Here is a 22,396-nt window from a genome sequence, read left to right as displayed (position 1 = left end):
GTTTAAGAGCATTATATTTTATACTTTAGAAATCAAAGAATGGAAGATAGTATAGGAAGTCATTGATGTTTTGGTGGAATTCACACTAACTCATAATTAAAGGGATTTATTGAAATTAGAGAGCACATGTTTTTACTATTGGTTAGTGAAAGTTTGGTTACTGAACTAAGGGAGTTTTGTAATTCGTTAAAAGGTTTTCATTTAAAAATACTGAGGAACATTTTATTTAATTTGTTGTTCCTTTTTTACATTTGAAGTTTCATATGGTTGTGCAAGAAGTGATGCCCAGGAGACTTACTCGGGGTGTCCAGTGTAAATATGTCATGTCATTAGAGGCCTGAAAGTTTGTTTTCAGCAGAAAGTCTCTAAGGTCCTTCATTGGATTGCAGCAAGAACTACGAAGTCTGGCAGTACAAGGAAAATAACTCAGATTTTATCTTACATGACTTTTTATTTCTATTTTGTTTTAAGGCTTGACAGTACTTTGGCAACCATAATAACAGTGGTTCACCTGAATTTGATGTGGGCTGCATCATGTGCACAGAAAAATAAATGGCTTAGTAACAAGTGTCTTTAACCACATTGAAGCTGCCAAGTGCAAGCCTCCCTGGGGTTGATCCTGAGGCCATTGCATTATCAATTGAGAACCTATCGTGTGCCTGGCCCTGGTGTTGCAATGGCCAATGAGGCATTGCCTCTGCCCCCAAGGACTGTAGCAGGGAGACAGACACTGAAATGGGATCATTTTAACACAGTTTAGAGCAATGCACAGGTTGCCTTGGAGCTTAAAGGAGGAGAATCCAGTCCAGCTAGGGGAGGGGAAGGTGGTGCCAAGGAAGCCTTTTCCAAAGAGTTGTTTTCTGAGCATCCTTGAAGATGATACCCACTGTGTGCATCAGTAGAACTGCTTATTATGAACGAATTCACACTAAAGTGCCCATGGCAGATGAGAGCTAAGTTGTTATTCCTCCCAGCGATATTGGGATTTATAACAGGTCACAACCCTTTCTAAACCCAAGAGAGGATACTGCTAGTAATAGAAGCTTGCATGTCATATCTTTCCATGGAGAAGGGGTCTTTTCAATTCTAGCAACATCAGAGAAAGTAACCACCTTTTCCATCTGGACTAATGGATTCTCTCAGCTGTCACTTCAGTGATTCTCACAAAAACCATAACAGACTAAGCACATCTCTTTTGTAAGTTGCTGTCATTTTATAAGAGATGCCCAGTAGTTTGCCAAATACAAGAGAAGACACGCAGAATAGACATTATTCTTACCTTCTGAAAATTATGCCTCAAATTTTATCTTCAGCTGTCATGGTCTGATCTTCCTTCTCCTTTGTGCTTAGTTTCTTCTCTACCTGCAAACATTCGCAAGTCTCCTTTTATTCATAAGCATATTCAAGCTAAGCCTCCCCTAAGCACAGTGTATACTTGCAGGCTCCTATATCAGCCTTGTCTCTGTCCTTCCTGCCTAGAATGCATACATCTTCATTTCTTGGTATGCAAGGCTCACTTTGATGACATTAGGTAGGCCTTTGCCCAAGTAGTTTTATCTACCAAAGTGCTTTTGTCTTACAGGTGAGATCCTACACATCCTTCAAGACCCCACTCCAGTGGCTCCTCTTGTTTGAAAACTTATGCTGACTTTCAAGGGGGAGTACTTCAAATACCTCCTCCACGTAGTACCTGTCATGAGGAGTCATATATGTCTTTTCTATTAGAGCTGTTCTTGGGTAGAAACTGGGTCTTATTCACATTTTTAGCCTAATATTTACCATTGTATCTTTTATATTGTAGGCACTTAATAAATGTTATACAGAATGTTTCAATGACCCATTCATTTTCCCCAGATCATTGAACTTCTGTCTTCCCAGGCTTCTCACTTCCAACTCTGACATTTATCAAGTGCCTCTCTGTATGACATCCTTTCTTGGGAGTTTGTGTTGTCTCCCTTCTTCTTGCAAAGCCCAGTCCCATATAGTTCTATGCTTTCCTCCTTAGAAGTGAGGAAACAGAAGTTCAGAGAGGTAACATGAAGCAACTTACCTGATGATACCCAGCTTGTAAGTGGTAGAGCTGGGCTATGAATTTGGATGTTTCTGGCTCACTCATTCACTTATGCATTCAACAGAAACATACTGAGCAGCTCCTGTGGGCCAGATACTCTTCCAAGGAAACAGCATTGAACTAGACAAATGGACTGTCTATTCTAGAACGGAGAGAAATAGTGAATGGACAAATAAATCCAGTACATTAGTCAGTGATGAGTGACTTTGTATCTCTGATGAGATATAAAGGAAGAGAATGGGCAAGAGACAAGGAGGGCACATGGAGGTCCTTTTAGCTAAGCTGACCTGGGAGGACTCCCTGAGGAGTGAACATTGAGCAGAAACCTGCGTAAAGTAGGGATAGAAGGGAGAGTGGCCCAGGCAAGAACAGCAAGTGCAATGAGTGGCCCAGAGAAAGAACTGAGGACCAGGCAGTGCAGTGTTTCTGGAGCTTAGTGGGTGGCAGCTGCTCTCTTAGGAGGGAGTTTGGAGAAGGAGCCAGCACCCAGATGATATAGGGACTTGTAGCCCATGGCAAGGAGTTTGAATTTTACTCTAAGTGTCTTTGGGAAGCCATTGGATTTCTCTAAATAGTAAAATTCTCTTGCACTGTCATATAAGCTATAGCAGTTTGTAAAACAGATATGCTTGGTCTCTTTTGGTTTCTTCAAAACTCATTGAAATGTCACCTGGCCATTAGTATAGATACAAAAGGTGGCTTTAAGCCTGGCATGGTGGCACATTCCTGTAATCCAAGTGACTTGGGAGACTTAAGTGGGAGGATCATTTGAGCCTAGGAGTTTGAGGCCACAGTGAGCTATGGTAGCACCATTGCACTCCATCCTGGGCAACAGAGCAAGACTCTGTCTCTTAAAAAAATTAAACATTTCTGAAAAAGAAAAGGTGACGTTATAATACTTACCCATTTAATCCTCAAAACCCCTGTGATGTGGCAAATACTGTTCTTATCCCTGTTTTATTGATGGGAAAATTGAAACACATGGAGAGTAAACAGCTTGTACACAATGACCCCTAGCAAGCTTGTACACAATGACCCCTAGCAAGTAGTTCAGCTGGAAGCTGAACTTGTTCTTAAGGCAAGTAAGACAGCTTGCCTGCCATCCCACAACTAGTTTGGTGCTAGGATTGGAATTCAAAGTTAGTCTGACTCCTGTAAAGCGCTTTCTGAATTTTGTTCTCCCTACTGTTGCCTCTGCCCGGTCTAGACACTTTCAACCTCCTGCCAGCCTTGAAGTGTTCTTCACTGGTCTCCTTGGCACCAGCCTTTCTTAATACTACTCTTGTGCATCTCACACTATTGATAAGTTCGGGTGTGGGCTTTACATCTCTCTCTCTCTGCCTCCTTCCTCTAACAAAATCCTTTGTGGACACTCTTATTTAATATATTTCAAAATATTTAGGTTAGCCTTCAAGGCCCACCAGAGCCTGGCTTTCTACCATCTCCTCCAGCTTTCTTCCTTTTCTTCTGTAGCCAAATTGCTCTCTGCTTTGTTCTTTGAACACAGCCTGTGTACAAGTAGGTCTGAAGCTTCACTCACTCCCTCCTTTTTGCCTGGGACTCTCCCTCTGTCTGCCTTCTTTCTTGGTTAAAGACTTGTTCCTAACTATTGGGTACTATACTCAGTACCTAGATGATGGGATCATTCATATCCCAAACCTCAGCATCATGCAATATACCCATGTAACAAACATGTACATCTACTCCCTGAATCTAAAATAAAAGGTGAAATTATATATTGAAAAAAGACTTGTTCCTCTGAAAGGCCATTCCTTTTTGACTCCTCCTCCTAGATTTGCAAGCCACTTGTCACTGAGTTGGCCCTTAGCTTGATATATTTTTTTGTCTCATCACCCAAACTGAGTTTTCACCCCTTAAAATCAACAGTCATATCTTCTACTTCTCTGCATCTGCAGAGAAGTAGATAATATATTCCACTAAATATATCCTATTAAGTAGCATTTAATAGGGACTCAGTTAAGTGTTGGTAAGGCTTTCAGGCAGAAGGGAGGGAGACAAACTGGAATTAACACAAAAGATGTAGTCACTTCACAACATATGTGTTACCATTGGATTTTTTTGTGGGTGTGTATTCGAAGAGAACCAGAGATCAGAGGCCTTCTCTTCCTGTTCTCCGAATATTGGTGATGATTGGTTGCTTGGCCAATCTCAAAGATGGCCCCATTTTTGCTAAAAAAAAAAGCAAGAAAAAACTTCCCAAAACAAAACAAAAAAGCCCCCTTAATTCTGGAACCTTAGTATCCACTTCTACTTATATTTGTTTTCCTGATATTAAACAAGTGCAGTTGGGTTTGAGAGGGTGTTTTTCTTTTTTGCCACTTTTAACTAGTCCAGATGGTTATGCGATTCACAGACTCAAATGTGTCCAGATCATGAAAATCCCAAGGCCTCCGTGTTTGAGCAGAGTCCATATGTTTAGGCATTGTTGTTACTTGTGTGGGTCCACAGAACTTGTTGAAGAATCCAACAATGGAACTTGTGTTCCTGCTTGATCCAAGTTTGGATGTTCCCATCCTTTCTCCTGGTGATATGGGTAGAAGGGGCTGGATGGTCACTTCACAAATGGTTGCATGTCCCTATCATCCAGGAAAGTGAGAGGAGATTGTAAATATGCGTGCCAAGCCTTCATTGCTATCAACAAAACAGCCTGTGCTCTATCAGCATTTCTGTGAGATGTGTAGAAATGTTTATTTTAAAAAAAGGAATTTCCATATTAGTCTAAAATGAACTAGGCTAGTCGTTCTCAAATATTAGAGTGCTTTGGAGTTCCTTCAAAGCTGGTTAAAAATACATGTATTAGGGTCCCACCGCCTAGAGATTCTGCTACAGTAAATCCAGAGTGGGGAGCGGGTAATGCGCATTTTTAACAGCCATCTGGTTGTTCTGCAGTCCTTAGCACAACACTTGGAGAAACCCTGACCTATAATATAAAGCAGTTTTTTTAGAAGAGGAAATTTTAAATTAGAAAAAAAAATTAGCTGTCAAATCTAACACTTGAATCCTTGCCCCCATTGACTTTATGCTGTTGGTTCTCTCTTCTCTCAGCATTTTGCCTGCAGGCTAGAATCTGTGTTGTTCATTGCAGTTTGTGCTCAGCCACGGAAGGCACCTATCCCTAGCACCCAACCCCCATCCACCTAGGGCTCTATAAAAAGGTTAGTGCATTTTCTAGAATAAAGCCTTTTTCTAGGTAGATAGTTCTGGGGTTCAAAATGGGACTTTATTATAACACAGAAGCCTTAATGTTACCATATTTTTCCCATAGATGTAGTTTGGGGAGTGACTAGTGGTGTTGGCTGCTGGACATCTTATTTTCACTTGGATTTCAAGTTCTGTGTCTGGATGGGCTTGGACAGCAGTTCTGAGTATCATTATTTTGCACCCAGAAATTCATTTGTGCCTATTGAACACCTACTATTTACCAAACACTCTTCTTCTTACTGGGACATCAGTGTAAAAGGCAGACAAAACATTCTTATCTTTATTGAATTTATATTCTAGTGGGAGGAGAAAGGCAGTAATGATATTGTTGGATGTTGAAAACTATTCATGGAAAAAGTAGACTTGGGGAAGAGGGATAGAGAGTGTTGGAGGTGGAGGAGGGTAGTCAGAGAGAAGGTGACATCTGAGAAAAGACTCCAAAGGCAGGGAGTGAACGAACCCTGGGAACATTTACAGGGACAATAGTCCAGACAGAAGAAACAGCCAGTGCAAAGGCCCTGGGGTGGGAACATGTCTGGGGTGGTGAAGGAACAATAGGAAGCCAGTAGGCTAGAGGAGTGTGAGAAAGGGGAAGGACGATGGCCAAAAGGTAAGAAGAAATGGGGCAATTGTAAGGATTGGGCATCTCCCTTGAATGAATCGGAAGCCATTGGAGAGTTTTGAGCAGAAGAGTGACATGGTCTGAGTTAGATTTACTGCCTCCCTCCCTTCCTTCCCTCCTTCCTTAGTTCTTTTCTTCCTTCCCTCCGTCTCTTACTTTCTCTTTCTTTTCCTCTGTCCCTCTCTCCCTCCCTTCTTTCTTCCTTTCCTTCATTTTCTTTCTTTCCTCTTTCTTCTTTTTTTTTTTGAGACAGGGTCTCACTTTGTCACCCTGGCTAGAGTGCAGTGGCAGAGTCATAGCTTATTGCAGCCTCAAACTCCTGGGCTCAAGCAATCCTCCCATCTCAGCCTCCTGTGTAGCTGAAACTACAGGCATGTGCCAACATGCCTATAATTTTTTTTTTAGTAGAGATGGGGTCTCACTATGTTGCCCAGGCTAAACTTAGATTTTCGAAAGGCCTCTTTGTCTCTGTGTTGAGGATAGTCTGTTGGGAAGTATGGTAGAACCAGAGGGACTTGCTGGGAAGGTAGTTGCAGAGGTCCAGGAGGAAATGGATGGCTTCGGCCTGGGTGGATCCCAAAAGGCAGGCACACATGGTCCATTTTGGGTACAGTTGGAAAGATAAGCCAACAGAATCTCCTGATGATTGGATGAAGGAAGGGAGACAGAGAGAGAGGATTTAAGAATGATATTTGGCCGGAGTCACCAAAAGTGAGTCATTTCCCCATCAAAGACTGTGGGTGGAGCAGGCTTTGAGGAGAAGATGAGGAATTCAGTTTTGGACATAGGTCTAAGATGTTTACTGACATCCAATTGGAAGGGCTGTAGACCGTTGGATGTACGAGTGTGGTGCTCAGGGGATCCTCATCTAGGAGTTTTAGCATGTGGACGTGTGTGTGTGTGATTATATGTATGTGCGTGTAAATCTATATAATTGTATGTACATAATTAGCAGAATTGTGTGCATATATGCTTGTGTGTATACATAACTATATATGATTATATATAGATTCCTATATTATACCTCATAGCCTGTTGTTTGCAATGTTTTGTTTCTAAAGTATTGTTGAACCTCCAACCTTTGGTGTAGATGGTCTTTAGTCACAAAGTCATGCTTTGCCTTCTAATGTGGTGCTCCAGACCCATCCACGATAATCATCAGTATTCATCATCATCCGCCATATTGGCTTGTTTTCACTCCTTTGGGCTTTGTGTCTTGAAACAGATTACTAATGCTGAAAATGGTTGAACCTTGATGATCTCTCCTAAGTTCTCTTCCAGGGGGTAGTTAACCGAGCCTTCACGTGCGTGTGGACTTTGCAGTCCGGCCTCTGCCAGCATGTGACCGTGCGTGGCACACTTGATCCATCATGGCACAGTTCATTTGTGTAAGTGACTTGACAGATGTCCATAGTGAGGCATCAAGTTGGATGGTGTCTGCTAATAAATCTAATGGGGGAAAAAGAAAAGAGAATTCGAAGGATTATCTTTTTTTTTTTTAGGATTAAGTTTGTGCCATTTAGCTGTTTGAGACCCTGTAGTTAATGCTGCTTTATTAGAAGCCTATACAATTCTTCACATGGGTGTCAAAATAATTTCAGTGAAAATGATGTTGTGTGGACGCATCAAGCTGAAGTATTCGTCTTGTGATTACAGATGGGTTTTTGTCTGGGCTGTTCCACTTTCTTCCGGCCGCTTTGCTGGACTAGCTAGACTTAACAATCCACATTAATTTACTTTGGCACTTCACATGGTCAAATAGGCCACAGACACGATGGTCCTTAATAAATTTCTAAAAAATCCTGCGGTGCTCCTTTTTAATTGACATCCTTCACAAATTGTATTTGCCCAAGCTATAATTACTCATCAAGCAGCAAAAGCAAATCTACCTCCAAGTACAATGAGGATGTTCTTTTTGAAATTATTAAGATACAGAAGTTCAATGCAGAGTAATTTAGTTCTGCTTTATAATGATATCTTTGGGGACTCTATCTTTGGGGATCACATCTATTAGAGCCTATCAGCATGGAAAAGGACCTATTACCACCAGTGTGCCTCATAAATGCCAAATACCCCTGATTCCCAGTGACCATTTATGTGTCTTTAAAACAGTTGGAATTGCCTGATTTCTTTAATAATGTTTGTATATGACCTTTAGAACAATTAACTACTTTACCTGATATTCATTTAGTTTATTTGGAATATTTTGTCTTGACTCTTGAAATTGCATAGAAGGCCCCATATATGGTTGAGTAGGGGATCTTTGAGGGGACATCAGTGGAGGGTTATAATCTAGAAAGTTTAGAAATAGACCAAGTTAAGGTGACTTAGAATGAATAATTAAAAATTCTTATTTAGTTGATTCATATTAATAAAACAAATACATTTTACCATGGTGTAAAATTAGGATATTAGCTTTCCTAAGAAAGATTCAGGGAAAATAAAATAATATTGTCAATAAAGGGCTTAGAACAAGCCTTCCCAAACTGTGATTTCACAGGGTATTGCAGGGGAAACAGAAGCAAGTGATCCACAGCATGTTGTTTGTTTGTTTCCTGTCTCCCCCTTTAAGAAAAATGTAAGCTTCATCCAAGTAGAAAATTCGTCATCTTTTCCATAATATTGCCTCCAGTGCCTAGCACAGCCCCTTGTACATAATAGGCACATAAATATTTGTTGGATGAAGGAACTGTGGGCCTTCTCAGAGCCTTTAACTTTATAGCGAGCATCGTGACTCATCAAAGGGAAGTCAGCCTTTCCCAACCTTACTGGACCATGGAACCATTTCTTGAGGAGCATTTTACTAGACTTGAGTACCTCTGGGAAATTCTAACTTTGAGTAAAATAGATAAAAAAGTAAAACTGAATTGATCACTGAGTGAAATACTCAAGCTTTTGCAGATACCGGAATGTAAATGATAGAGATCATGAGGTAGGGAGGAGGCTAGACTTCCGTGGTTGAATCTATAACCTTCGGCAAGTTACTTGAGCCCTAGAAGCCTCAGTCTACTGATCCATAAAATAGGGATGATAATTATCTTACTGGGTGTTGGGAAAATAGATTATGATTAGTCCCAGTTTGGAAAACTAAATGAAATAAAGTATGTAGAGGGTGTCACTGGGCTAAATACTTATTCCTATCATCTTTTAAAAAGTAAGTGAAAATGACTCCAGTTAGGATGGGCGATTAGGAGGCATTGAAGTTTATGTGTGATCAACCTTTCTCCCTCTCTCCCTTCAACAAATACTAGAGTGCTTATAATATTCCAGACATTGTTAGTTCTGGGAGAGATGTCAGTGAACACAGTTAAGGCCCCTTCCCCATGGACCTATGGGGTTTTGTACTATAATGTGTTTACTGATGTCACTGCCTCTTAGAACATAAAGTAAATTTAATTGTACACAATTCACTTAAAGTTAATTGTTCTGAGGTCATTATATTAGAGACCTGCCCCAAAGGAGCACTTTTTCTCTCAGAATCAGATCTGTTCTTACACCAAATGACTAAAGCAGGATTCATAGGTCACATTTTAAAATAAAACAAATAAGATCAAGCTAGCATTACTAGGTAAGGTAATCAAATGAAAATACCACCCTTTCATTCTGATTAGTTTAACCACCATGGTAGGGTAGCCAGATTTACCAAATAAAAATACACAGCACCCAGTTAAATTTGAATCTCAGATAAATAAAGAATAGTTCTTTTATTATAAGTATACCCCAAATAGTGCATGGGATATACTTATACTAAAGCAAATTTGCTGTTTATTCAATAAATTTAACTGGGTGTCCTGTATATTATCTAACTACCTTGCCACACTGAACTAGGGTCCCAGGTACCTATGCAGGAGAAAGACAATTGCCTGCAACAAGTCAATATTTAAAGCCCCCTTTGTAGAGGGGCTGTTTTACCCAATACAGAATAGAAACCTTTAGTTCTATTTGAAGTGATTTATAACTGTTCCCGCCTGATCAGCAAGTGTTTCCAAATTAAAAGCCATTAATTAAGGCCTTCTATAGATACAAAAGATATGCAAGGAGTGCTTTGTAATGCTAGCTCAGTACTTCAGGTAAGAGCGTTTCAAATTACCTGGACCACTGGAGCCACCTGCTTGACTAAACGCTGCGTGGCCTGCTCTGCTCATCAGTGTGCACTGCGGTGCCAGTGTTGTTACTGATTTTTCTCATTTCTCCAGGGCAAATACTAATTAATGGATACAATTCACAGCTGATTAGCTGTAGTTTCTTCAGTAATTACATTCGCATACTAACTGTTCAGAAGAGGATTTCTAACCCAGTTCTTATTTCACTCTAAGCTTAATTTGTTTTTTGAATTGTTTAGGCCTTTAGTTTAATAGCCATTTTATTTTTCTTTGTTGTTTTAGGTGCTATTAGATAATAAGTAAGTTTAATCTTAAAAAAAATACTCTGTGATAATGAGCTGTTTGCTTTAAATGGATTTCTAATTCCCCAACAAAACCTACATTTAAATAACGTTGAGGTTGTGATATATGTTGTTAGGCGGTTTGGGGGGCCAGGACTGGTGCACGGAATACTCATCTCGAGCCCAGGTTCTCATAAATATCCAAAAGGAACATTTGCATGGAGACCTGAGATTTTAACTCTAGCATCATTCATTCATCAAAAATTTCATGATAGAAAATAAAATACTTAAAATACTTTTTCTTGCATGTATTTAACATTGTAGAAAAACAAGGGAAAATATGTGTGTGAGTGTGTGTGTGCCCATGTGCAGCCATGCACATGTTTCTGATATCACATGCCTTCAGAGAAACCAGATAAAGGTCTTTCTTAAGCGCCAATTCATCTTTCAGAAATCCTTATAAAGATATTTACCTAAATGAAGCTGAGTGCTCAGTGAGAGCTTGTCGGATGACTCATTGTATGTGCATTTCGGTGTGTTGGCTGTTGTGGGATACTCTGGAACCATTAGAGTCTTTTGTATAAATCCTGCTTAGTTCTTGGATCCCTGACATGATAAAGTGTAGCATGTCAATCCTGCTTCTGGGTGTAAGTCCTTCAGAGTCAGAGATTGAGAGCCCCCCAGAAATAAGTGTTAGTTTATTGAGGAAGAGGATTATATGAGTCTTCCATATCTATGTATCTCTCTCCATATTCTATTTATTCTCAATATTTATCTGTGTATTTATCTATGTACCTACCCATTTATCTCCATCCATCCATCTCTCACTCTCCTTGGGAAAATTCTATCTTTAAATAATTACTAGCTTTATTTATATTAGAGAATAGATATACACATTTCACCCTTTGGAGATCAAACCTATGTTTTATTTGATGCATTCAAGGAAGGAAATAATACACTTTATAAAAAGGACATTCTTTTACCAGTTAAAAATCATGAAAATAATATAGCTCTAGATTATTATACTCACAGAGCCTTTCCATATTACCAGACTGATAATGGAATGTTTAAAGCAACAAAATGTGCCGATTTAGACCATTTGAACCTGAAAATACATTTCTGCCAAAATCCAAGTTTTACGTTTTGATAACAGGTCCCTAGAGGTAAAGAGCTTAAGTCTGAAATGCTGATACGGTCTTATTTGTGATGATATGAATGGCCCATTGTGTTAGCGAATGAAATAAAAATTGATGTGTTCATGAGATCCCGCTTATTTTTAAACCTCTTTGCACTTAATGTTACATTGAGAGATTAAATATCACTGTTTTCAGCAACTCTGATGGATATAGATATCGCTTTAAGCTCTGTTTGGAGATTTTAAAAATATTCTTTAGTCTTACAATTTATATTCATGCCACACCCCATTCACTAGAAAATAGAATTTGAGTCCTGGGAATTGAATTTTATTCCCTTTAATTCATATTTTAACCTACCCACACTTGTGACATCTGTTCTTGAAAACTAAGCTATAAAATCCTTACATGCTTTTAAAATGTGTCAAGGTGATTTTCTTGGAAACTCTTTTCCCTCTCACCTCTCACAAATGCCAGGTCAATAAGCAACACACACTGGTGACCAGTTGGCTTAATGTTTGTAATCCTTTCCCTTCACAGTTAGTCTTGATGAGAAACAAAACTATTTTATAGAATTATTGAGTTAGCTTAACTCTGTGCTTTATTTTCTGAGGGAACCAGCTGACAGTATAGCCTTGAAACCTTTGTCATGTTTTGCATTTGGGCTGATAAAACTCTCTTTTATTTAGCAACACCAGCATTCTTTCCAAATCACAGCCAGAATGCTTTATTATGCCGCATATTAACGTAAAACAATCTGTTTTCTTTCAGTTTGGAAATAATAATAACTATATGAATATGGCTGAGGCGAACAATGCGTTCTTCGCTGCCAGTGAGGTAGGTGACTGTCTTAATGTGTTTGTTCCTGTTTTTTGTGTTATTGAGATAATTTAATAGGCTTGAAGGGAAAAACAAAGTATCAAATTTATCTCTCTCTTATGTGGCACAAGGTAACTACTTTGGAGGAGAAAAGAGAAAAGCTTATTGGAAAAGAAAACCTGATAAGTCTTTTATCACTTGTCTGTAGACTGTTACTAATGTTAGTAACTTCATACGAATCTTTTGATTAAAAAATAATGCAAACAAAAAGTAAATATATAAGAATGTATGTTAAAACACACACACACACATATACAGTGTTGGTATCTAAGCAGATAAGTGGTTATTTTTTTAGATACCAGGCTAGAAGTGACTTTTAATGGAAAATAGTTTAACTTCACATATATCTAGGGATAATTAAGTGTCATTAAGTTGTCATGGTTTGGGAAACTATGTGACAGAAGAGTATTATAGTTTCCTGGGGCTTGGGGTGATGTGAAATGAGTGTTGTAATTTGTTGCTAGATCCCCACAGCCCAGTACAGTGCCTGGCAGTAGTAGGTGCTCAATAAATATTTATAGAATGAATGAATGAGTGGCTGGCATGCTCCAAGACTTGGTCACAGCTGGGGAAACTGGGTGATGGAATCAAAATGCAGCACCTCATTGTCTCTGGGTCTGTCTTCAGTTTACGGGTGCAGATGAAACAAGCATCATCTTCTTGCTGCTCTTTTTACTGCATTTCCTATTATTGATTTTGGGCTGCTGTTTGGTCTCATTGGCCTGCCCTCCAGAAAAACCTCAATCTTGATTAGATAAAACATGGTTTCCTAAAAATGGTAGACTGTGTGAGATTTAAGATTTTAGAACAAGAACAAACAGAAGTGAAATTGGCCCAAATGGAACATTTCCTCTTGTGGTTCATGTAATATAAAGTCCTCATTTTCCAGATACATTCAAATACAGGAAACTGAACTAGCTTGACCCCAGAGAATGAAAATAATAATGGCTTCATAAATGATCTTGGTAAAGGGAGGCAAGTGTTATGAAAGAAATTAACTTTGAGAAATTATTAGAATAAACGGGGGATCAAGAATTAAAGCTATTCCTAGATTAATCATTTTTATAGTGACCATCATCTCTCTAACCAAGAAGACAGTTTAGATAAGGGAATATTGTTTGGCACTGGCTGCTGTGTTGTTTGTGGTAATGAACACAAACCCCATCTGTAAGGACGACATGATGTTTCATTCTGTAGGATTTTTTTTTCCCTACATTTGAATCAAACATTGATGAAAGCTCTACTGCCAGCAGCTGTTCAGAGACAATTTAATTCCAGCTGTGATAATTCACCGTGTCAGACATTGGCTGTTATATGTTGATACAACAGTTCTCCAGATTTGCATTTTTATCAAAAGGAACAAATGTTTTGAACATTTCAGTACAGATGGTATTTAACCATGTACATACTACTTTAACATGTTCAAGGTAAACATTGAAAAGTCAATATCTGTAAAAAAATAATCACGTAAACTCTAAATGATTAATCTGATATTGGTCAGATGGCACAGTTACCAAAGTCAGTGTGTCTTTTTGTTGTTTTTGTTGTTGTTGATGCCATATGTGGTTATTTTTTTATAATCTCAGATATCCAGCATTTTGGATTCCTTTTTTTCTCTAAGGAAAGCTTAATTTTAATATATTACCTGCCTTTAAAGGTAGTTTAACATTTTAACATTTTCTTGGTTATTTCAGTGGATTATTATATTAGGTTAGGATATTGTAATATGCTTAATTGAAATTAATTTGTCGTTAAAAAAATTATACCATAGGGACATATTGCATATGACATCTCTCTCTGTTCCTGAACAAAAATAAAAACCTTCCTAATTATGACTGCTTAGCATAGACATGTTTTATGTTAGTTTTGGAAGTAATCTTATGTAATGATTTCTCTGTACATCTTTTCTTGAACAAAAAATAAAGCCCAAGTAAATGTTAATGCTACATTATAGCACGTGCCTAATTTCCCAGTCACTGCATTAAAAGTAAATTTACTTGGTTTTTTAACATTTTAATGAGTGTAAACTAATTCAGGAAGTCTTTAGGTTTGCATGCTGTAAAGTCTAAATTGTGCCTGAAACCAATTCCCTTCACATGGATATTGTCCTGTAGATAACACTACAGGAACTAGGATACTCTGAGTTTGAAATTCACACATTTGCTTTATGTTTTCTATCTGTGTCATGATTACCCTGACCATTTTTAAAGTACTTTAAATATTTATTGAAATAATATTTCAAGTGTTAATTACAGTGGTAATGAAAACAGCCAAATGCCACATATCAAGAATGAGTGTTTATCCGTATTGTTAATGTGATATGTTAGATTTCATTAAGCAGTAATGGGGTAGCAAATGAGTCACAAATTACAGTTGCATCTGTTACTAGACCATATTAGTGCCAAAATAACGGCAAATGCAACCATAGGGTTATGCTCATTAGCCAACCACGTTTGTGGCCAATTCATCCCTTTGTGTTTGGGAACTAGGGGTTCCACAGTTAGAAACTGACAGCTTTTGGGGTCATTATTAGAATGCATGTGTCAGAAAATCCAATATTTTAGTCTAGCATTCAAATGTATTATTCTGCTACGATGTTTTGAATATATTGAGCCTGCTAAGAACCTCAAGATGTTCAGTTGTCCCACCATAGACTGCCATAGCTCGTGACCTCTTTTTTTCTGGTGAGATACAAATAACATTTGACAGGTTCTATATGTAAGAAATGTTTTTTGTTGCTTTTTTTTCTTGAGTTTTTCTTTTCCCTCAAGTGGTCATTACATTATATCATGATTGATAGCTTGAAGAATGATGATTTTCAGCACTTAATTAGTCCTCTTAACTGATAATAGCAGACTCAAATTATCTTGCACCAGTTCATTCTTTCAAATACTATTAATAGTAAATGAACTATAAGTTTGACTCTCTGAGCTAGGAATAAAAAATATGAGTAGCCCCCCAAACCCTCCACCTGACCAAAAAAAAAAAAAAAAAAACCAAAAAGAAACAAAAAAAAACCTAGACCTTGCCACTCCCCCAGAACCTCTCGCCAAAAAAATCCCCCCAAAAATGGTTAGTGTGGTTGGGTGGAGCAACACTGATTTATATCACGAGGCCCTATTTTAAAACACTGCCTTTAAGAATCTCAGTATTGGCTGGGCACGGTGGCTCACTCCTGTAATCCCAGCACTTTGGGAGGCCGAGGTGGGTGGATCACAAGGTCAGGAGATCGAGACCATCCTGCCTAACACGGTGAAACCCCGTCTCTACTAAAAAATTCAAGAATTAGCCGTGTATGGTGGCGGGCGCCTGTAGTCCCAGCTACTCGAGAGGCTGAGGCAGGAGAATGGCGTGAATCCGGGAGGCGGAGCTTGCAGTGAGCCGAGATGGCACCACTGCCCTCCAGCCTGGGAGACAGAGCGAGACTCTGTCTCAAAAAAAAAAAAAAAAAAAAAAAAAAAGAATGCATTAAGACTTACTTAGGTCTTGAGATATAATACTTCTCTAAGTAAGCGAACAGCATCAAATCTAGTTAGTATTTCTATATCAATATAGCTCTATGCTCTCTAGATCATCTTTAAAAAGTCGAAGACTGGTAGAAAATGTTCAGATAAATACATATTAAAATGTTCATGTAAAAGAAAATAACCCTCTTTGTAGTTTAAATAAAAGCGCTGGCATCTTTTAATATGAACTATGATAATCCTTATATAAAACATTGTATTACACACAGTAACAATTTCCATAGAAGTAGTCATTGCACTTGGGAATATACCAATGAGGAAATTAAAAAAGCAAACCACAAATTTAATATTACTTGTTTTATATGTTGTGGCAGAAAGTAAATATATGTAATGTTCACTTCTGGATTAATATGTGTGTGTGTGTGTGCATGCCACAAAATCATCAGCATTTTATAAAGCATGTGGATAGTGTCAGCGGTTTGAGCTGTTTCACTAACATATCAATAAAGTAGCAATTTGTTATATGCTCCAACTAACAACAAAGACAGATGTTGCTAATTAAGTAGGCATTAAAAAACTGTTAATACTGATACTCCATTAAAACCATATGATAATGAGACTTAAATCTTTAATCAGAATGATCAGCAAAACTTTATATATGGAAATCTGTGTTTAAGATATTTTCATTTGAGAAATAAATATTTGGCCTAGATATGTATGTAGTGTTTTCATGCAATGTCTTTCTCTTTCCCTCCCCGGAGGAATAAGATATAGGAACAGAATATGAAGATACCTGTATTTTGTTTCCTTTTAGCAGACATTCCACACACCAAGCCTTGGGGACGAGGAATTCGAAATTCCACCAATCACGCCTCCTCCAGAGTCAGACCCTGCCCTAGGCATGCCGGATGTACTGCTACCCTTTCAAGCCCTCAGCGATCCATTGCCTTCCCAGGGAAGTGAATTCACACCCCAGTTTCCCCCTCAAAGCCTGGACCTCCCTTCCATTACAATCTCAAGAAATCTCGTGGAACAAGATGGCGTGCTTCATAGCAGTGGGTTGCATATGGTAGGCACCACATTTATTACTTAAATTATTTTTTATCATTTGCACAAATCATAGTAAAGATCTGAGAGTCCATGTTCTGAAACGTGCTCTTGCCTGTTCCTAGTGGATTGATTCTAGTGCTATTTACATGCAGGTACTGGATCGCTGCCTGGTATTGAACAAAGGGGTATTGGGTTGGTTGACAGTAACCAAAAAGAGGATGATCCAAAAAGAGTCTGCTGATTTAAAATGATTTTTTTTTAAAGTCTAATTCATTAATTTGGAAGTAGCCAATCTTCCCTTGCTGTTGGCTTAACACAAAGGTGTGCTTGAGTTGAAAGTTTGCCCAGGCAAGATTTTAGAAATGGAAGTCCTTATCAGGTGCCTAAGTCTTTTGAGTTTTTAGTATTATAATGCTTACGATACACGATTTATTCTTATTGCAAATGAAATACCAAACTGAGATACCAAAAAAGGGAAAAAGTATAATTGCTTATAACCAGCAGAGAAAAATATAGAACAAGTGATTATGTGAAATACACCTAATTGCGTTATTTATTGTCATAAACATCGATTAAGGCACTCCAGAGAGCCAAGATAACTAATGCAATAATTTTGGTTCTATTTTTCTTAGTGTGCAATTATAGTCAGCAATCACTAGAGTAAATCTGCTTAAGTATTTTAAACTCTTCTGCTGGGATTTTTCTTTTTTTTCCATCATAGCATATAATGCATTTGTGTCTAGCTAGGTGAGGTACTAAGTAGACATTTTTAAAACAAGATTAATAGTTTATAGAGCTTTTTTTTAAAAAACCCTGATAAAATGAAACAGATGTGTTGGTATAACAAAAAACAAATCCTCTTGCTTGTTTACATATTTCTCTGCACATTAGGACCATGCCAGTGATGTTTATTGGCTTCATTGTTAATTCCCCAGATAACAACATATGATTGCAAAATATGTAGTGGATTAGTGGTGCAAAGATTCAAAGTGCTCTCTGAAATATAAGATTGCTTTCCCAAATAGGATTGCAGCAACATAATTTTCTTTGCTTGTGATCTTTTGTGTTTGAGCTGAACATCAGGGTTTTTATTTTTTACTTTTTTTTTTTTGGTCAGAAAAGAATTCAGTGAACAGTCGGGAAATAGTCATTAAGTATTCATAAACGTTACTAGACATCACAAATAATTGTTTCCTGGGGACTTTCTTATATTTTTGTACCTTTGACACTGGAATGGAGGGTTCTATTCTCTGTTTCTCTACAGCCAGGCTTGCAATGTTTTGCTTAGAAAAGAATAAAAATAAAATGGGTGTGTTTAGTCACCAAGGGAGTTTGCCAGGGTTCACCATCATTCATAGATGCTCAGAGAGGCTCATTTAAGTTGCAGAAATAGTTAAATGTGTGTTAAAATGTGTACTTTCTTAAATTGGTAAATATTTATTAATAATATAAGAATCTGCCTTTAAATTAAACATCTGATGAATTACCTTGCCTTAAAGCTATAAAACTGTTATTGCTGCCATAAAAAAGTGTAAAGGAGGCATTTTGACTATGAAATTTCATTTCATGGTCAATTGAATTTACTATATTGGAAAGAACTAAAGATGGAATCATAAAATAATTATGATATTCACATACACTTAAAGAACAATGCTTTCACGGACTGGCGTTGGGAAAGAGGACTCAATTTTTAATGCTTCTTTTGTAATGTATGGCTAATCACTAAAGCAGTTGAATTATTTCATTGATTTTTAAAAGTATAGGTACTTTAGCTAAGTGCAGGCTGTTGTCATGGTATTTACATGGACCTCATCACATTTATTGGTGCCTTTTTGAAGTTTTGCTGAACCTGAGTGATATTTATTTTGGCTTGAAACAAACTAATCTTGTTGAAAATTCTAGTAGAATTTCACCTTGAAGAAATGTCATGGGATTTTAAATCACAAATGTTGGAAAAAAATAAAATGTACTAGGACAGAATTATGATGAATACAATGTGTTGTTGGCTTTGTTCTATGTACTACCTGACATGTTCACCTATAAACTTGAATTCAGAATCGCCAGAGGCATGGTTAAAAATTGGTTATGTCAGGGTTCTTCTATATCTCTCTGCGGGTACTGAGTTGGCTGGCTACATCATAACACTCCACAGAAGCCTCCTCAGAGATTTCCCTTAGGAAAGTCACCAGAAAAATAATAAATAATACTTTATACGTCATGCATTCAGCTTCCCAGTGTGTGTTGGATATTTCATACCTTATGCAAGTAAGAAGTTTTATTATCCAAATGAATATGGCTGTCTGTTAAGGATTGCTATGGTGAATTAAGACTATCATATAAGAAGAAAAGCCAGCTTGTTGATGTTGTATTGAACCAGCTTTTCTTCAGAGCTTCATCGGTTTTCCTTTAGAAAGAGTGACAGTTTGTCACATTACTGATTAGCTGCATTATTGTTGGCAACAAGCACAACATGTTTATCTTCGTTAAATTTATGCCATTATATTTAAAAACAGAAGGCAGGAACAAAAAAGGGGGATTAAAAAGAGTCCAGTGATTAGCATTCACATTTCAAAATATGCAAATAATGCCCCAGTATTCAAAAGCGAATTGCTGAAAAATTGAATGTCGATGCATTTGTGACTTCAAAGAACAACCTTGATTTGCTTGTCGTGAATACGTGTATTTTAAAACAGGATGTGGTTGGCAAGTCAAAATCAACAGTATATTTTGGTTAAAAATTTGTTACCTCTAAGTGTTATTGTCAGTTCAGATGATCAGAGGAAATTGTTTTAATCCACAAAAGATTGCAATTCTAAAAATCTACAATGTGAGTTCCAAAGGGTTGTGTGTGTTTTTTTTTAACACCTCTCTATAATCTGCCCAGCCTGCTGAGTAGCACTGACATCAGTAGTACATCAATTTCAGAAAGTGGATTATTTTTACTAGACAGCTATTGTGACATATTGGGTCAGTCATAAATGAAAGATATTCATGCAAGCATGCAATACTTGTAATGAAGTCTCACTCTGACCTTCTGTATGATTGATTCTGTAATTTAGTTTTCTCAGGCAGTGCCTGAAATGAAATGAAATCATGTTGAACAAGTTTTGAATACCCACAGTGCACCAGGAGAAGAAAAATCTGCAGCCCTAGAGGCTTGAGAGAGAGCAGATGAACGATTTATCTCTATGCTATTATAGCCTTTGCCAGCATTCAACATTTCTTTTTTTTTTCTTATTTGGCTTAAGTACTTAATTCTGCAGGTAGCTGTAAATGGGAAAATAAAATGCTGTTCAGATTTAAAATGACAGGACAGGAGTATGTGCAGGGGACTGATAAAATATCTTGAATAGAACTGACCTTTCATGTAGCTGAAAGTTACTGGGGGATTCATCCTCATAATTACCATATAGATTATTTTTATTTCTTTCCTGCAATGAAACATTTCAGAGAGCAGTAGTGCTGATTGAATGAAAATTGAACTTGTTAACATTCTTTTCAGCTTAGCCTGTTGTACATAACAGAAGGTTAGCTTTGATGAATTTCAAAATTCTCTTTGATATCTAAGAAACAGACAGTAAAATAATTGTCTCTGGTCTGATATTTTGTATGCCCCCCAAAAGAGAATTTATAAAACACACTGATAATTCACATACTTTTCTTCATATATTATATTTCCATGTTTAGAGGACTGACATTTTCTGTTTGATATTACCTTGGATTTAATTGTGATCACACATATTTATAGAAAATGCTATAGTGGTGCTCTAGCAATATCAAACGGAGTATTAGAAAATTGAAAAAGATGGAAGTAAGGAAAGTATTTGAGTATGGTAGTATTCGTACCTGTTAAAGGGAAGAGAAAAAGAGAAGAAAAGGTCCTATAGGAGACATTTATGCAGAGAAGAAAATTATGAGCTTTTAAAATATTCATAAGACTCTTAAGTCATAATCCAGACAGATATCATTTTTGATAGAAAAATGGCAATTTATCAAAATATTACATCTAAAATTACCAGGCTTATTTTAGAAGTTTTTTTTATTATTATACTTGGCATGGCTCTAATTTTGAAGTTGAATTATTATATTTATTTTTAAGAAAATGACTTTCATGCCATTTTTATACTTAAAAAAATCTTACGTTAAGAGAAATAGCAGACTTTCAATTAATATGTTGTTTTTAGCAACGTTGCTTAATGTGTTACAGATAAAGCCGTTATTTCATGGGTCATTAATGTGTTTAATGCATGGAACATTCTATTAAAACAAGCCTTTATTATTGTTATGAACGCATTCATTGCCATTGTCAATAGAGGCTGGGGAGCTAAAGTTCACAGGATGATGACTATTTAGCCATGGGGGGACAAGCAATTTCTCATACAAATTGAATGCTTACAAATTTATCATACATATTGAATAATTTTGGTCAAGTTACGGTCAAAAACTATTTTATTATAAATTAACAATGTAAAGGTCACAACTTACCTAGGCAAAAATACACATTGAATGGAATAAGACCTATCTGCATGAACTCTAAATTATAAAACTGAAGCCATATATTAACCTTCAATGAATATTTACTGAGCACCTACTAAGTGCTGTATATTGTTTGTTGTTATTTTTTTTAATTTTACATATTTTTTAGAGAGAGGATCTTACTCTGTCACTCAGGCTGAGGTACAGTGGTATGATCATAGCTCATTGCAGTCTCGAACTCCCGTGTTCAAGCGATCCTCAGCTTCTCGAGTATCTTGGACTACAGGTGTGTGCCACCATGTCCAGCTAGTTTTTAAAATTATTATAGAGACAGGGCCTTGCTCTCAGTTGCCCAGGCTGGTCTTGAATTCCTGGCTTCCAGCTGTTCTCCTGTCTTGGCCTCCCAAAGTGCTGTGATTAGAGGCATGAGCCACTGCACCTGGCCTGTTTTTAATCATTAGAGATTGATTATACTGTTTGTGAAATTGTTTTGTGTTTCTTTCTTTTTTTTTGACTACCAGTGTCCCCTCAATGAATTACAGAGATTCAATCTGACTGCTGCCTGAAAGAAGCTTATTGTCAAAAACCAACTTTAATTTAGCTGTTACTATACCTTGATAATTGTCTGCCAAAAATACCCAGGCCACAGACACTTTTACAAGCTGCCTTCTTTGTAGAGCCTTGTACCACACTGAGCTTAAAATAAATATTCTTTATTCTTGGCCTGTGCATACTACTGACTCTGAACAGATAGGAATTGTCTTTAGGGCTGAGTTAACCTGAGGGTCATCTGTCAAAGTAGGACTGTGTTCCAAACTTCTACTAAACCTAATTAGACCTTGTGCAGTGTGATACATGATTATTGTTTAGTTTATAACATTTAAAGGAAAATGTTATGAGAAGGCTGGCTGTGGTTTATTTCCCTGTATCTTCTTTTTAACATAGATCATCTACAGTTAAGTATTGTAGTACTTAGTGATGGTTCAGAGACAGCAAAGACACCCTTTTACAGCACTTAGATTCCCACATAAGACTGACATGATGGCTCAAATATTTTTTGGAGAGGTGAGAGTTACTCTGTATGCCATTACCCCT

General features: G+C 37.3%; 1 protein-coding gene across 5 annotated transcripts in view, besides 1 other annotated feature; it reads left to right on the top strand.

The window, feature by feature from the left end:
- Positions 1-22,396, top strand: part of TOX3 (TOX high mobility group box family member 3) — a 111,387-nt gene that overhangs the window by 67,025 nt on the left and 21,966 nt on the right. For 2 of the 5 annotated variants that reach the window (NM_001146188.2, XM_005255892.4), the window contains 2 exons: positions 12,204-12,269; positions 16,593-16,844. In NM_001146188.2, coding sequence (NP_001139660.1) covers positions 12,204-12,269; positions 16,593-16,844 — 318 coding nt within the window. Of the gene's footprint in view, positions 1-6,284; positions 7,304-12,203; positions 12,270-16,589; positions 16,845-22,396 lie in introns of those variants that run through there. The other 3 variants (XM_047433909.1, NM_001080430.4, XM_011523002.3) reach the window with 2 other exon arrangements.
- Positions 9,687-10,297: an enhancer, noted in NCBI's record as "OCT4-NANOG hESC enhancer chr16:52504393-52505003 (GRCh37/hg19 assembly coordinates)". NCBI's record gives its function as "activates a minimal SCP1, AML or CMV promoter by ChIP-STARR-seq in primed H9 embryonic stem cells {active_cell/tissue: H9 hESC(primed)}" and the evidence as "EXISTENCE:reporter gene assay evidence [ECO:0000049][PMID:30033119]".

Source organism: Homo sapiens, chromosome 16 (assembly GCF_000001405.40).
Source record: "Homo sapiens chromosome 16, GRCh38.p14 Primary Assembly".
Taxonomy (NCBI): domain Eukaryota; kingdom Metazoa; phylum Chordata; class Mammalia; order Primates; family Hominidae; genus Homo; species Homo sapiens.
The sequence above is the reverse complement of the archived record's forward strand: the minus strand, read 5'-3'. Positions and strand labels throughout refer to the sequence as shown.